Source organism: Homo sapiens, chromosome 6 (assembly GCF_000001405.40).
Source record: "Homo sapiens chromosome 6, GRCh38.p14 Primary Assembly".
Taxonomy (NCBI): Eukaryota; Metazoa; Chordata; class Mammalia; order Primates; family Hominidae; genus Homo; species Homo sapiens.
In genome coordinates this window covers 167,369,139-167,385,882 of record NC_000006.12, presented here as the reverse complement: position 1 = coordinate 167,385,882, position 16,744 = coordinate 167,369,139, and the positions used below count along the sequence as shown (strand labels likewise).

The 16,744-nt window shown below is 49.4% G+C and overlaps 1 pseudogene across 4 annotated transcripts; it reads left to right on the top strand.

Annotated features, from left to right (window-relative positions):
- Positions 1-1,372: 1,372 nt before the first annotated feature.
- On the top strand, positions 1,373-12,793 carry TCP10L3 (t-complex 10 like 3 (pseudogene); annotated as a pseudogene). 4 transcript variants are annotated; one of them, NR_163194.1, is made up of 8 exons: positions 1,373-1,502; positions 2,928-3,072; positions 4,547-4,762; positions 7,791-7,928; positions 9,179-9,337; positions 9,806-9,917; positions 11,432-11,532; positions 12,523-12,793. The product of NR_163194.1 is annotated as a t-complex 10 like 3 (pseudogene), transcript variant 2 (transcript). The 4 variants fall into 4 exon arrangements; NR_163195.1 differs by lacking the exons at positions 2,928-3,072; positions 4,547-4,762 and adding an exon at positions 8,625-8,912; NR_163196.1 differs by lacking the exons at positions 2,928-3,072; positions 4,547-4,762.
- The last annotated feature ends 3,951 nt before the right edge of the window (positions 12,794-16,744 follow it).

The following is a 16,744-nucleotide window of genomic DNA, read 5'->3' as shown; positions in this document are numbered from 1 at the left end:
CAACTTTCACACAACTCAGGACACACACACAACCCTCACATACCTCAGGACACACACACAACATCTCACACACCTCAGGACACACACAAACCTCACACACCTCACGACACACACACAACCTCTCACACACCTCAAGAACCTACACAACACCTCTCACACACCTCAGGACACACGCACAACACCTCACACACCTCAGGACACACACAACCCCTCACGCACCTCAGAACACACACACACAACCCCTCACACACCTCAGGACACACACACAACACCCCACACACCTCAGGATACACACAACCCTCACCTCGGGACACACCCACAACACCTCACACACCTCAGGACACACACAACCTCTCACACACTTCAGGACACATACACAACATCTCACACACCTCAGGACACACACAAACCTCACACACCTCAGGACACACACAACCTCTCACACACCTCAGGACACACACACAACACCTCACACACCTCAGGACACACACAACCCCAAACGCACCTCAGAATACACACAACCCTCACCTCAGGACACACACACAACCCCTCACATACCTCAGGACTCACAACACCTCACACACCTCAGGACACACACACCACAGCCCCTCACACACCTCAGGACACACACACAACACCTCACACACCTCAGGACACATATACAGCCTCTCACACATCTCAGGACACACACACCACAGCCCCTCACACACCTCAGGACCCACAATCCATGGTTAGAATGACGCGCAGGGACAAAAGTGCTTCGTTTCCTCTTTGTGGTAGTTTCTTCGTTCATTCACGACGTCGGTGTTTACTGCCTATTGCAAGCGAGTCGCTTGAGGAACTATCCGAGTGACACACAGCACAAGCAGCCTCAGGGGAGCCCCAGGTGTGCTCTCCACAGGCAGCACCGTGGATGAGAAGGATGGCCAGGGCTTAACAGGAACATGGACTCTCGCTTGCGCCTCATTCTCTTCTCTATCACAAAAATCACACGACAATTCAGATGGAGATGCATTCTGTGAAATGATGAAAATTTGAATCCTGTCTCCTATTTAAACTCACATATATTATTTTCCCTTCATAAAAATGTTTTTTCTAGTAAGTAATTTGACATCCAAAGAGAGTTTATATTTCTTCAAGAATGTATGCTCAGAGAAATGAGCTCTTACTACACGTTGGGTATTGAAGACTTGATATTAAACACATGGTTTTTGTCAATGGGGAGGAGCAGTTTGACTCTCTCCAGTGTCCTTTGTGGATGGATGGACTCCACTGACAATGAGCTCCTATGTTAGAATTGCGGGTTTGGGATGTTTAATTATTATCTGAGCTGGTCCAGTGGTGATGCTGAGTGGGACGCTCATGCCCCTTTAAGACAGAAAGTCCGTTGGAACCGTCGGCTGCTCTCTGGTCTCTGGAGATGAGGCGGGAGGACTTGGGGACAGCTGTGGGGACACGGCCCAGATGCTCTGGTCCCAGCAGAAGTGACTGGCGGGGACCAGGTGAGGTGATGAGGTCTGTTAGTGGGGCTGAGGGAAGGGGTCTTCCCCAGACTGAGGGGGTCACAAGTTTGGGGCCGAGGACACTGGGGTATCCCCTCGGAGGAGCGGGAAAGAAGAAGCTTTCTCAGGGCTGTGAGGACCGCGGACCCTTGCCCACTTCCACAGAAACTGTCCCAATCCCCGCGGGGAAGGAACAGCCAGGGATCCGGTTACTGGTAGGTCTTGCTCTTGACCTTCGATTTGCCTTCATCAGGAGACTCTCTTTTAAACAGCATTTCTCCAATCACTGTGGTTAAACTGTTCATTCTCAGGTTTGTATACAGTGAGAAGTTTATGAATAAACAGCTGGGGTTTCGTTGGGGGCCATTCGCTTCCTAAAACCGAGAGGGTGAGGCAGGGTTGGGAGCGGCTTTCAGAGAGGACCCTGCAGGCTTGCAGGAAGCTTTGCGTTTTCTCTTTTGTTTTAGTTTTCTGATTGCTGTGAGCTTCCTAGAACTGGCATAAATGCTGTACCTATAAAAAGGTGTTTCCTTTCCACGTCTTCACCATGAATTCACAAATGTCATCCCGATGGTTCAAGACTCAGACTCAACACAGTATGGGGTCTGCCTGTGCACCTCCAAGTGGGTGTTGATCCAGTGGTGCTGATTAAAGGGCTAAGAGTTCCCTCAGGGCCGCAAGCGACCATCCACACACATCCCACTCACACCCCGAGACCATCCTGCTCACATCTGCTCACACCCATTCACATTCCCCTCACACCCGCTCACACCCCACTCACATCCCACTCACACCGGCTCACACCCCGCTCACACCCTTCTCTGGATGACCAGAGTGCATTCGGTGTCAGGCTGATCTTCTAGGATCTAAAGCATTTTCCACGGAGGATGATGGACAGCCAGGTGTGGACCGCTCAGTCCCTCCGTCTGTGGATGGTGACAGTGTGTTAGGTGTCAGGCTGATCTTCTAGGAGCTGAAGTGTTTTCCATGGAGGATGGTGCAGAGCCAGGTATGGACCACTCAGTCCCTCCATCTGTGGATGGTGAGAATGTGTTAGGTGTCAGGCTGATCTTCTTCTAGAAACTGAAGTGTTTTCCATGGAGGATGGTGAGAGCAAGGTGTGGACCGCTCAGTCCCTCCGTCTGTGGATGGTGACAGTGTGTAAGGTGTCAGGCTGATCTTCTAGGAACTGAAGTTTTTTCCATGGAGGATGGTGGAGAGCCAGGCGTGGACCTCTCAGTCCCTCCCTCTGTGGTGTCCTTTCACCTGGTCAGCTTCGGGCTTGGGAATGTGTACAGGACCCCGGGGGAGAAGAGAGGCTGTGGTTCCTGCTCGCCCTTAGGTTGAGGCTGGGGCCTTCAGCCCACACTGACGGGGTAGGGGGCTGCATTCAGGCATTGCCATAGCTCTTCCCTTCCCAACCAGGATGCTGGAGGGTCAGCTCGAGGCCGGGTAGCCCAAGGAGGGCACCCACCCAGAAGACCCGTGCCCGGGAGCTGGGGCTGCCATGGAGAAGACACCTGCAGCAGCCGAGGTCCCCAGGGAGGACAGCAATGCCGGGGAGATGCCGGTGAGCTGACCTCTGTGGGGACAGAGTTAGTCCCACCAGGTGGGACCCTGATTCCTGTCCCTGTGGTCTGTCATTGGACTTTCCCTCGCCAGACCCCTGTAGGAATGCGCCACCCTGGGACGCTGATGCTGAACTTCCTCTCAGAGGGGCACGTGGTTCTTTTCCCCTCTGCAACCTTCTCTCTTGGTGGATGGGAGCCAGGATGGGGAGTTAAAGAAAATATTAACATTCCAGCTTTTCTCCTCTAATCCAGGAGAAGGCACCAGACTTTAAAAACTTCATTAACGAAAATCAGAAGGTTGACATGCCTCACATCATCCCAGCAAGCTTCCTGATTTTTACCCCTTCCTCACATCATCCCAGCAAGCTTCCTGATTTTTAGCTCCTTCCTCACCAGACCCTGTTGGACAGTGCTTGCTCTCAAGAAAGTGCCATGGGTCCCTGTGGCCAGAGCCATGCAGTGAAGGGCTGTACCTCTATCACGATCCCACTTATTCTCAGAGCAAGGCTGGAGGCTCTACGGTCCAATGAAGGATGCCAGGGGAAGGCTAACATGTCAGGTTGAAAATGCAGTGGCTTCCATAATTTTTAAACTGTTGACCACACATCCATGCCACCATGGTGTTTGAGACCAGCCTGGCCAACATGGCAAACCCTCGTCTCTACTAAAAATTCAAAAATTAGCCAGGCATGGTGGCGTGCACCTGTAATCCCAGCTACTTGGGATGCTGAGACACCAGAATTGCTTGAACCTGGGAAGTGGAGGTTGCATTGAGCTGAAATTGTGCCACTGCACTCCAGCGTGGTTGACAGAGCAGGACCCTGTCTTAAAAAAAAAAAAAAAAAAAAGAAGGAAAAAGAATAAAAGAATGCCAGCCTCTTATTGCTGTAGTAGTGTTTTAACAAAGAATGATAATTCACTGACCATCTATATCTGGTTATATCATGTAGACTAACTCATAATAAACAGTACTCAATAAGAATAAAGCTGTGGCCAGGCATGGTAGCTTATACCTGTAATCCCAGCACTTTGGGAGGCCGAGGCAGGTGAATCACTTGAGCCCAGGAGTTTGGGACAAGTCTGGGCAACATAGTGAAACCCCATCTCTACTAAAAATACCAAAATTAGCCAAGTGTGGTGGCACACGCCTGTAGTCCCAGCTACATCAGAAGCTGAGGCAGGAGGATCACCTGAGCTCATGAAGTTGAAGCTTCAGTGAAGTGAGATCATGCCACTTCACTCCAGCCTGGATGACAGAGTGAGACTCTGCCAAAAAAAAATAAAAATAAATAAAAATTAAAAAAGAAAGAAAGAAAGAAAGAAAAAGGCTGCGGTAGTCCTGTTTATCTCATCGGGTGTCCTTTTGTCCAGAAAGAGTGTTGGTCTCACTTCAGAGGGGGCTTGAGTATTTTGCAGATGAATGTGCCGGTTGGGCGTCTGAGAGGTTTCCTGGTGTTCTCTTCCCAATGACAGTCATTACAGCAGCAGATCACCAGCCTCCACCAAGAGCTCGGGAGACAGCAGTCGCTGTGGGCTGATATTCACAGAAAACTCCAGAGTCATATGGATGCCTTGAGGAAGCAGAACCGGGAGCTCCGAGAAGAGCTGAGAGGCCTGCAGCGGCAGCAGTGGGAAGCCGGGAAGAAACCCGCAGCGTCCCCACACGCGGGGCGAGAATCACACACTCTGGTACCAAAGGCGCATTTGTGTTTTTGTATCATTTGCGTCGTGTAAATATAGCGTCCCCGTAAAGATGTGGGCTTTGTTGCTGGGTGACGTGGTATCTCTCACGTTCCAGGTGGTGGGAGGGCTTGCTATCTTTCCATCAGCTCCATTTCCCACAAGTAAAGATTAAAGAACTGGATACATCAGGCATCTCACCTGACACTCCAGCAGACAGAAGCACAGCCGCCTCCAGGCTGCGCGTCTCACGTCTAGAATTCTAAGACAACCCATGATGTCTCAGGACAACAGCAGCAAACCCTTACTGTGGACTTTACATGGGCTAGGTAGGGAGCTTTACCATCTTACTCTCTACGACGACCCTATGAAATGGATCCTATAACTAACTCCAACATGGCCACGGGTTGGAGAATGCGGAGCTGGGATTTGAACCCAGGGTGACTCCAGAGTCAGCTCAGTGGCCCGGTGTCCTTCTGTTCATCTTCTAGGACAGCTGTGTAGAATGCAATAGAGACCTGTTGAAACGGGAAAAGTTCCCTTGTCCCCCTCCCAGGGTGTGCGAAGGGGATGTGGCTCGCTTGCTCATTGTCCCACAGCTCAAACCTCTAGGGGAGCGTAGAGACGGGCAGCTGTGCAGCTCCAACCCCACGGCAGTGTCTAGGGGTGAATGTTTACAGCTGAAGCCCCAGTGGGCGTGTGTCACAGGGCGTTCTTTCAGTTTAGCTCTCTGTAGGCAGCTTGTGTTTAGCAGCTCAGTTAGACCCTCTGCACATCACTAGGACGGAGGGCTTTCTGTATCCTGGGTTCCTGCCTCGGTGTACCTGAAAAATCAGATCACATGTGGGCTTGGAGGATGGGTGCAAGGTTTTTTATTGGGTGATGGTAGCTCTCAGCAGACAGGGGAGCCAGAACCGAGATGGAGTGGGAAGGTGGTTTTCACCTGGAGTTGGGCAGCCCAGCCGCCGGGCTCTCCTCTGACTGCCCTGATCAATCTCCCTGTCATTCTGACAGTCAATGGCTTGCTGATGTCTGCCAGTGTGTTCCTCTCGATGCCAGCCACTTGTGTCTCTGCCCACTAGGGTCTCGGGGTCTTCACAGGCACAAGATGGGAGTGTGGCAGGCCAGGGTGGTCTTGGAAATGCTACATTTGGGCACGACAGCAGAAATGCCTAGGTCCCTGGGCACAGGCCTGGGGGTGGAGCCCTAGCCAGGGACCTGCCCTTCTCTACCCAGGACTTTCCTGCGCCCGTCCCATATCACCGCCCTGCTCTATCCCAAAGGAAGAACCAGCATTCTCATGCTGAAATAGTCGGTGCCTCCCAGCACCCACCTGCCTTTATAGAACACTGAGCTTTCGAGTTTGATCACACGGCTCAAAGACCGAGCCTAAGAGAGTGTGAATGTGGCCAGTGTTATCACTGCCTTGTCTGGGTTCTGTCTCCCGCACATGGGTGTAAACAACTTGAATCATTAAAATTATATGTACAGGTCAGGACACGCGGAACCACGTGAACACCCTCCAAATGTAAGTGGGGATATTTCTCAGTGGGTTAAGAAAAGTACCAACGTTTCCTATCTGCACTTATTGCGTGAACTTTTAAATCGGTACTTCCAGGACTTAGAATGTTTCCGATATGACACAGTGATTACAACACACACGTGTGCACACACACATGCACACACACACAGAGGCACCCACAGAATACATTCCAGAGGAGCCTGCTCTGTGGTCGGTTCTCCCAGCATGGCAAGAACAGCCACAAATTCCTCTACAAGAAATTACGGGAAATCTTGGAAGTCATTCCCAGTCTTCGGGAGCTCTGCGAGAGCTTTGTTTCCGTGGAGATGGCTTCTGCTGCCTCAGAAAGAAAGCGGGTTTATCCTCTCAACACAGCAAAGTGCCCAGTCCTTCTGCCGAACCACGAGCGGAAGCCGGGCAGGCTGTTCCTCCGTCAGAGGTAGAGAGGGAGAAATTGCCACAAATACTGGCCGGGATTGTCCACCTTCTGTGAGGAGAACCCATAAGACCCACAGGGATTTTTCCCTGCATATACTGTATGCCAGTTCCTAAAAAATAGTATCTACTGCCCCATTTGGGTCATTGTATGTTGGTCGAAATGTTACCGTAACAGTAACCCCAAGAGCCAATGAAGTCTCGTCCAGTCTTCACACTCCCTACAGCTTCCATTGTTCTCTTATTTCGAGGTTAGAGCTTGGGGAATTTCCAAACTTTTTTTTTGATTCTGTGCATTGTACTGGTCACCATGGGGCTATTTATAGGAAGAGGATCTATGCTCACAAGAGCATACCTGATTTGAAGAAAGGACGGGATATGTGAATTCCACACTTCAAATTTGCGTAGGTGTATCTGTGTGTAGTCGCAGTTTTAGGGAGTGAGCATCTAAAAGGCTGAGGCATGAGCACCCTCGGAACGCGGGCACGGCTGTGTGGGTGAGCCACTCTGGATCTGGTATTAAGGGTTCGTTCATAGCAACCCTCTCCCCTTCTCACTCCCTCCTCCTCCTCAGAGGGGAGAGCGGGGAATAATTAAACATTCCAGACCTAACACACCTCCTCCCACCTGCAGGATCACGCTGTTCCAGGTCAGTCTGCTGATAACAGGGGAAGTTGGGAATTTGCATTTCGAATCTTAGACAAGTTGTAGAGACAACACTAGAAGGAGCATCACATTTTCCTCCTCCGTTGCCACATTCCCCGTTGAAGACACATGAGCCTGAAGGAAGATATGTTGGGTATTGATCATTCTGTAGCCTTTGGGATCCTGTGATCAATTTGAAACAAGGAACCACAATAAGAAACACAAAGCAAATACGGGCTCCACAAAGCTTCCTTCACAAACGTTGGGTGAGGGTTTCTGTTCTTATCAACATGTTAGGGGAAAAACCCAGGCCAAGTCCCCCCACCTCGTACCCTAATTTTTTCTAGGACATTCCAATTATTTTGGATTTTATTAAAATTTGAATTTATCTTACCTTTGAAAATATGAACATTTTCCCCGCATTTTGTCTTTTAGGCATTGGAACCTGCTTTTGGAAAAATTTCACATCTGTCAGCTGATGAAGACACAACGCCCAAATACGCTGGCCGCAAGAGTCAGAGTGCCACTCTCCTGGGACAAAGATGGTCATCTAACCACTTAGCTCCTCCAAAGGTGACCCTTCGTGCTTATCGTCTGTAAAGAGCAGCAGAGCTTCTGTACCCAAACACACACATCCCATCAGCTCCTCACCACACAGTTTCACCTCCCTGGGGGAGCATGGTGCTCCCTGGAGTCCTGCGTTTTTCCAAGGACATGGGTGCATGCCTTTCAAACAAGATCCTAAACCACAGCACTTCCTGCTGTAGGGCAGATTCCAAGTCCTGCCAGCTGCTTCCCTCTGAGCTCACTCACGGCAGCAAATGTCTGGCTGGGGCCGAGTGGACTCGGGGGCTTTGTTTCCGTGGGTGCCACCCACGGAGGTGATATGTGTGGCGCTCTCGCCACATGCCATGGCCCGTGCGTCTGGGGGCTCGCAGCCTCCCACGATCCCTGCTTCTGCACTGCGGTCTTGCACCTGCTGCTTGTCAGCGTGGACTCCTCTGAACAGGGGCTGTGCCGCTTGCTTGGGGGCCACAGTGCAGGATGCTATTTTGTCTCCAACACATTTTTCCTTGTTAAAATTAGCTCCTCTTTAGAACCTTCTGCTGGCCAGTGTGTCTCTTCCCATCCCAGCTTTGTGTCACCCTCACACTCGGGAGGCAAATCTCGTGAGTCCTGAGCCAGCAACTGATACTGGGTCGATGTGGATGGAGAAGACTGCCCCCCCAACTCCTGAAGATGATTTATCCCCTCGCTTCTTTCCCAAAGCAACTGCTGAGCAGATAACACTTTATTCCCTGAAGGAAGATCAGAAATCTACTCCAAGCATTTGTCACAAGTAGGAAAATAGTCCTTTCAGATCCTATGAGTACAAAACATCGAAAGTCCCAGGACGTACTGCATAGGTCCAGCCTCCTGTGAGACACGGACTTCTCTCACGCTTCTGCATTGACCTGAGTTAATCACACGCGTGCTGGACAATGTACGAGTAAATAGATAACTGAATGGGTGGCTTATCCACGCCTCCAAACCCTGAATTTTTAAGCAGCAGAAAAGGTAGAACATTATTTTCATTATGCATTTTTGAATTGAGTTTCAAGTACTTTATTTCACTGTTGACTATTCTACAACGTCAGCCATACCGTCCCTGAATTCCTCAAGAGCGTGGCTGTAAAATGGGGAATGAGAGCGTGGATGCCTCATGTGTCCTTCTGTAGGAAGCGGGGGTAGAATCCTCTAGATTCTGTGGCAGCTGGTGTGATGTGTTGCTCAACATTTTAAAATAATATGATGGTTATTAATGCAACCACATTTATTTTCAGCCAATGAGTTTAAAGACAGAAAGAATTAACTCGGGGAAAACACCACCACAGGAAGATAGAGAGAAAAGTCCTCCCGGGAGACGTCAAGACAGAAGTCCAGCACCCACTGGAAGGCCGACTCCCGGTGCAGAAAGACGGGGGGTGTCTGAAGACGGAAAGGTGACCTCGGAAACCTGGGTCACTCTACACTGGCAGCATGGAAAATTCAGATTCAGATGAAGTTCCACTTAGGTCTCATAAGAGTACTCAATTTGTTATTCGAAATAGACCTAGTAATTTATTAACCTAATTATGTTTCTATAGATAAAACTTTGAATTTCTGCAGACATGTCTTTAATGCTATAAAAGCAAATAAATTGAATTGGGTTTTAAAAAGCAAACAACTTGAATTGGGTTTTAAAAATCAATTACTTTCCCGAGCTCCGTAATTGGTATATTTCTGCAGAGTCTTTAAAAGAATTGATCTACCTTGTAGTGCTGAGCTCAGGGCTGTTGGGTGAGCCCTGGGGTCTTGCTGGAAATTGTGGATGGCTGAAGATGGCTTCGTGCTCCCAGCCTTTGGGCTCGAGGCATTGCCGGCTGCAGGGACCTTGTGACAAGGGGGGCCTCTGACTGTCTTTGCCCCAGATTATGCATCCATCTTCCCGAAGTCCGCAAAACTCCGGTGGCAGAAAATCACCAGTGCAGGCTTCCCAGGCCACCACGCTGCAGGAGCAGACGGCAGCAGCCAGAGGAGCTGGTGAGCAGGGTCGAGGGCTCCTAACTGTTTCCATGCTTCCTGTAAAGTGGGGGGCTTTCTTGTGGATACGCGTGAGCAGAACATCTTACTACGGCAAGGACATGTCCTTCATGGAGCTGCCTAATTTCTGACCACTTTTGTCCGATTCCCTGGTTGGGTCCTCACCTGGGAGTCTTGCCGACACCCCTAGCCCTCCACCCCACACACAGCCCACATGCCGGTCTCCAGGGGCCGTGGCTGGAGATTCCGAATCCTACCGGCCACTTCCCCTGAGTACACTCCCAGCTGAAGGCGTCTGGCTGGGCCTGGGCGGACTCGGGGGCTTTGTTCCCTTTTCTCCGTTTGCCCGCCCATGGCGTTGCTGCCACGCTGATGGAGCGCCCTCTCATCCGGCACCTGCCCGGCCTCTTTCCTGAGCCCAGCTCTGTCCATGCAGATGTGGGTGCTTTCTGCATTGGGGGTCCCACCGGGAGGAGCCAACAGTACCCCTGGTAGAGTTGGGAAAGAACTCCTTCCTCACGTTACTGCCAGAAAATGACCATAGCAGCTTCACAAACCCCGCAGGAACCTGTCTTCCTAAAGAAATGGAGCCCATGAGGTGGCCGAGCCTCAGGTGTGGTCCTTATGCACAGCACAGCCCAAGCCTGTGGGCACAACTCGCCCTGGGCTGCCTGGCACCTGGACTCTTTCCTATCCTCGGCCCAGGCCTGTGTGGCCCTGTAGGGCCAAACCCGACACTGTCTTCCTCCTGGGTCCGCTCCCTGGGCCTCCTGCACCCCAGACTGCTTCATGGCCTCTGCAGGGAGCTTCACAGAGGTGAGACTGGTGCCATCTGTCTGCTTCAGACCACCCCAGGCTCTGCGTACCCTCACAGTCCCCTCTGCGCTCCTCTACGGGGTGGGGAAGCCCTTCCCATCAGGTCAGCACCAGCCTGGCCACCTTGTTTCTGCTGCCCCCTCCTCTTCAGGCCCCCAGACCAGACTTTAGTTACTTGCTGCTGCCGGGCAGAACTGGAGGCCTTGTCTTGCACAACCTCCACAACCTCCAGGCATCATCTCAGCTGACAGTGACGCCATCCTGGGGAAGACCCCCCGGATCCCGGGCTCTCCTGGAAGCCTGTGATGCTCCTTCACCACAGCCCCTGTCCCTTCATAGGTCCCATAAGCCAGTGGTGCAGGGATCTGGCCTTTCTCTCCTGTGTCTGCCTCCTGCAGAACCATGAGCAGCTTCAGGGCCGAGGCAGTGCCTTTCCATCCGTGAATCTCCTGAGCCATCAGAATACTCGAGAGAGAGTGATGCCCAAGAAATACTGACTGAGTGTATTCATGAAAGAATTAATGTTCTTACAGGATCACTTGTTGTTGAACTGACCTGACATGTGTATAGTGATCTCATGAACAAGAGGGAAGCTGTGCATCCATTCACTTCAATTGGATTTAGCAATCGCAGTAGGATAATGATATTTCCACAATGTATATGCTCTGTCCCTTTAAATTTAACTTTTTGCTTTTTAGACAGAAGCTCATCAGTCTTAGGGAGTTCTGAAGGCGGATTTCTCAGCCGCGTTCAAGCTGACGAGTTCGCCAGTTCTGCCCCAGACAGTGCAGAGCGGCAGGTAGGTGGCTGAGTGGCTTCTGTGAGGGCGGCCCACCCGGTTCCCCTCAGGGAGACCTGAGAAGGTGACCTTTTCGTCCTGGGGAAGTGAGATTCGGAGCCGGTGTCATGAGATGGTTGCATCTTCCCATCTTCTCAACAAGAACAGAAAATTAAGATGATTCCAAATGTCTCTTTATTTCCTGAAGTTCAGCCTTTCAAACAGAGACTTTTTTTTATAGATTTAAGTTGGTTGCATTTAGCACAAACAAGATTAATGTTTTTTATGACTTAAGAGTTCCCCTAGTCAGAGTTTCATTTTTTATCATTTTGATTTACAGTTCTCAGTTGACATTAATAGACTCGAAGGCAAGAATAGCAAACATACTTCTAAGCCCTAGCTAGGGGCCGACTTGTAACATGCTATATTTTACAAAAAAAAAAAGTCAATAAAATAAAATTATTTTCTCTACGCCAGGAAATTTGGGCTGTGAACTTACGTATGATGTAAAACTAGGCACCTGGCGGGGAAGTCTCAGAACACAGGTCCCGCTTGTTTTCTGTTCTCCTGCGAAAAGCCCACATTCTGTTCTGCCCTCTCCGACGTCTTCAGTGGGGGGACGAGTGGGAATATTTTTCTTGGGATTTTATTTTGTTTGGGGATCCAGCTAATGAGTTCACCTGGAAGCCTCCGGGCTAATGATCTACATTGAGAAGCAGTGCAGCAGCCATGGCAGGTGGTGTCTCTGTGTGGTGTTTGTATCAGGTGTTAAATGTGGCAGTTGTCATTGTGGCCACCCTGACTCCAGACCAAACATACAAGTGGGAGATAAGCACTTTAATAAAACACAAAACATGGTCCAAAGTCCCGGTGCTGACTGTCCGGGGCTCAGCCGCGCCCACTGACTTAGAGGCAGAGGCTGCAAAATGCCAGGGCAAGGTGCATTTCTCCCACCTCATACTGCAGTGTTCATGGAGACCACGGGAGATTAGGATTATGCTCTTTCTGCAGAATCTTCCTGTAAACCCACCATCTTCCCTGGAAATAGCACAGGCCATGGACACTAAGATGAAAAAGGAGGAAGTACAGGAAGAAAAACGACATCCAAAGGGCAAGGCAGATGACTGCCGGCGGTCCGGTTTCCCGAGTGAATTTCCAGGAGCTCTGCACGCCGCTCCCTCCAGACAGGACATGGGGCCCTGACCTGGAGGCCAGGCGTTTCTAGCATTGTTGACTGCCAGTTTATTCCCAGTAAATAAAGCAATACGCTTTTCAGGAGGAAGATTTGTTTTAAATACTTAAAAAAAAACCCAAAACTATAGCCTCAAATATCTTCCAGCCACCACATTTTAGCCCTTGAGGAGAGCTCAGTTCCGGAAGGACGCGTCAAGGTGGCGGTGGTCGGCATTGACTCAGGAAGGGGTGGGAAGAGGCACCTGCTGCGGCTGCGGCTGCGGCTACAGTGTTTTGTGAGCTCCGAGGAGACCCAGTCCTGCCTGGGGCAGCACATCATCGCTGCTTCTTCAGCTCAACAGTTCGTTCATCTCACGCCTCTTGCTGGCCTGTTAGAAACTGGGAGTCGGCCTCAGGCTAGCTTTGCTGAGGGAACTCTGCCTCAGTAAAAGCGAATTCATGTCTTGCAAGCGGGTAAAGCATTTGGATAAATGAACAACAGGGAATGCTACTTGCAGTAACAGTTTGAATTCACTGAAATGCTTTTGTCTTTAGCGCAGTGGTTGTAGTGGTTTGTCAGGGGAGAAGGAAACCCACATCATTTGAGCACCTGACCTTGCCATCCCCGTAGGCAGGTCCATGAGACATAAGTGATGCTCCTCCTTGGCTAAGTGCATGGAGGAACCAATCGCTGAAGCTCATGAAACCACGAAGATGAGGACACAAGAACTAGGTAACGCGCTGTGCCCTCTGCTAGCGCGATCCTTCCTTTCTCCCCACAACCAGCGGTCACCCACCTCTGCCTGCCCCTATGTCTCTGGCTCCCCCACCCTCCCTCCCAGGTCTTCAGCACTTTCCTCTTCTCGTGACTCATCTTGCATCTACTTCTTGTGTATCTTGCATTGGATATGCCAAAGTTCTTTCCTTTTTTGTGTTTTCTTTCTTTTAATAATATAAACTCCAAAATAGATTGTTTGATTCTTTTCATGTGGAACATTTAAAATATTATTTGTGCTTTATTACTTCTGAGAGTAATTGATTCTTTAAACATTGTCGGAGCTGTTAGTGTTGGTTAAAAGTTCATCTTCAGATACGGAACTGAACACAGCCCTGCTTCATTCACCGAGTTGGTTTGGGAGCAGGTGGAGTCATCTTAGTTCAAACCCCATCAAACAGGAGGCTGTTGTCCCGGCCAGCAGGTGGCGCACACCGTCAAGGTTTGTTTGGTGGATGGTTGAAGACAGTTTAAGAAGCCCAGCATTCGCTTCTATTCCCTTTGTATTTTCTCAGCTGAATTAACACCTATATTTCTGAGCTATGGTTAAGAGGGACAGTGTGACATAAATAACAAAAACACATTTTGCCATTTGGAATTTTCACATGCACTTATCTTAACTCCCCAGATCTTGAGATTATTTCTCTCAGATATTTTCTTTTGCTAATCTTTACATGAGTAATATTTTCAATGTGAAGACAAAGATATTCTTTCTACATTCCTTGTCCAGCATTATGCACATGAGGTTATATAATATTTGCTGATAGTTAATTAAAATCAACACATCTTTGGGATGGGCCGTAGGAGCGTAGAGGTAAGGAGATTGGGATGAAAAGGAAAGAAAAAGCTTCCAAGAGTAATTTTTACGTAGTAATTACCACAATTCCCATGGCCCAGGACTCTAAACTCACCAAGTCAGCGGCCGTGGAAGATCTAGACTGATGGCCACTGTGGGACACGAGCTTATGAAAGACGAATGTTGGTGGGACAGATCATAGCACTTATTCATTACTGATAACCACATTCGGGGATGGGAATTTGGACCTGATCTACTCAGTCAGTACAATTTTGGGGGAAATATCACAGCCAGTGTCGAGAATGCCATGTAGGCGATAATCATATGATAATTCTGAATTGGAGAAAAAATAATGAAACCACAATAATCAGGCTTTACATCATTTTTCATCTTGGAGCTTTTGTGTTTCCATAAAGGTAGAACAGGCACTGAGCGAAGGTTGTGCCATCACCACCTTCCCCGAGGCCAGCCAGAAGGAGCCGAGCATGGATAAGAAGGCGACCATCATCCGGTTTTCTTTTATTTATTTATTTATTTATTATAATTTAAGTTCTAGGGTACATGTGCACAATGTGCAGGTTTGTTACATATGTATACATGTGCCATGTTGGTGTCCTGCTCCCATTAACTCGTCATTTACATTAGGTATATCTCCTAATGCTATCCTTCCCCCCTCCCCCCTCCCCACGACAGGCCTGGGTGTCTGATGTTCCCCTTCCTGTGTCCAAGTGTTCTCATTGTTCAATTCCCACCTCTGAGTGAGAACACATCATCCGGTTTTCTAATGGTGACGTGAAGAAGATCAAACCCAGTCGGAGAGTGGTGTGTACAATGGATCTTTTTTGAAAAAAGATCTGTCTTTTTTTAAAAGAAATCAAAACTAACTCAGTTATTAGGAACGATTTTGCACATCTGTACCCCCTTTCCTCTGGGTGTTCAGGATGGGTTGGTGGGGACGAGCAGAGCACAGGCTGTGGAGGCGGGCAAGGCTCTCTATGAGCCAGGCTGTTCTGCTTCCTCGGTGCACTCAGGCAAGTGAGACCCTGTTGTCAAGACCCTCCGATCTGCACGGTGACACAAGAGTGCACCAGCACCCCTCCTGGCTCTGAGTTCAGTCATTGTTTTCAGCTTTTCTAAGCCTCTGCAAAATGTGGCTGATAATTAGGACCTAAGTCAAAAGATGGTTATGAAAGTTAAGTAACATAGTCCATTAAATAATGTCTCTTCTGTAGAACTCTCTAGAAACACAGTGGTAAACACTTAGTACATGTGCATTGATTGTAGAACTAGCATTAGTATTGCAACAAAGTTAGGCAGAGTCAGGAGCTAATCCCTGGTACAAGCTGGAGGTGAGATCCAGGGAGACGATTTTTACAGCCGGGAGGAGGCACTGGGCCCGGCAGCCACCTTGCAGGTGGAGCAGAAAGCATGGACTTGGGCTTCACGGGCTCAGCTGACTGGCAGCTCTGCCAGACCAGCTGTGCCAACACCAGCCAATTAATTCATCTCATCAAGCCTCAATTTCTGCATTAAAAAAATCAGGAAATATTCCCAGGTCTGGTTCTCAACTGGGGGCAATTATTCCCCCTGCCTTGAGGACATTCGCAATGTCTGGAGACATATTTGGTTGTCACAACTGGGGGTGGTGGGGGTGCTGCTGGCATCTAGATAGTGGGGCCCGGGGATGCTGCTGAACATCCCAATGCCAAGGACACCCCCCAACCCCACAGAGTTATCCTGCCCAAACTGACAATAGTTCTGAGGCTGGGAAAGCCCCCTGTAGGTTGTCATAAGGACCAAAGTTATGCCATGCATATATTGCTTGGCACCCATCAAGTACTCAGCAGCTGACAGCTGCTGTTACCTTGACGATCATCACTGGTAAAAGCCGATGATGTGTTTGTGGAAGAAAGCCACAGATCACAGTACCTGGGGGCCCACTTGATGCTGAGGAGCTGTGAGGATGCTGTGACCCCCTGGTTCAAACTACATGTCTCTGTGTGTCTAGGGATCATGTATGGAAAACACAGATGCTGAGCAATCTGGAGGTCTTCTAGGCAAGGTCTCCAGGGTGGCAGTATTTTTGTCCAGATAATTCAGGGTATATAACTCGATTCTAACTTAAGAAAATTTGGATAATTTCCAAAACCGATTATAAATAAGGTGAGATAAGGGAGGTCAGGGCAGGGTTTGTAGTGCATTGAGAATAGTCTCTTAGTACCCACACATTACCAAATTGTATTCTAAACATTTCCTTCTTTAGAATGATCAGTTTCCCTGTTGTTAGCCAAGCTTTGGGTACAAATGTAGAGGCACAGGGTCCAGGAGTTCTGAAAGACTGCAGAGCGCGCCTCTGTTTTTTGTGTTACTTGCTTTAATGAGAGGCGCCTGCTTGTGGCTCTGTGATTTTATCCCAGCGAAGCCTCTTGACCCTTCCTGAGGGTGGATGTTAGAAGCCCCGAGCGTGGACACAGGCGTGGTGTGCCCAC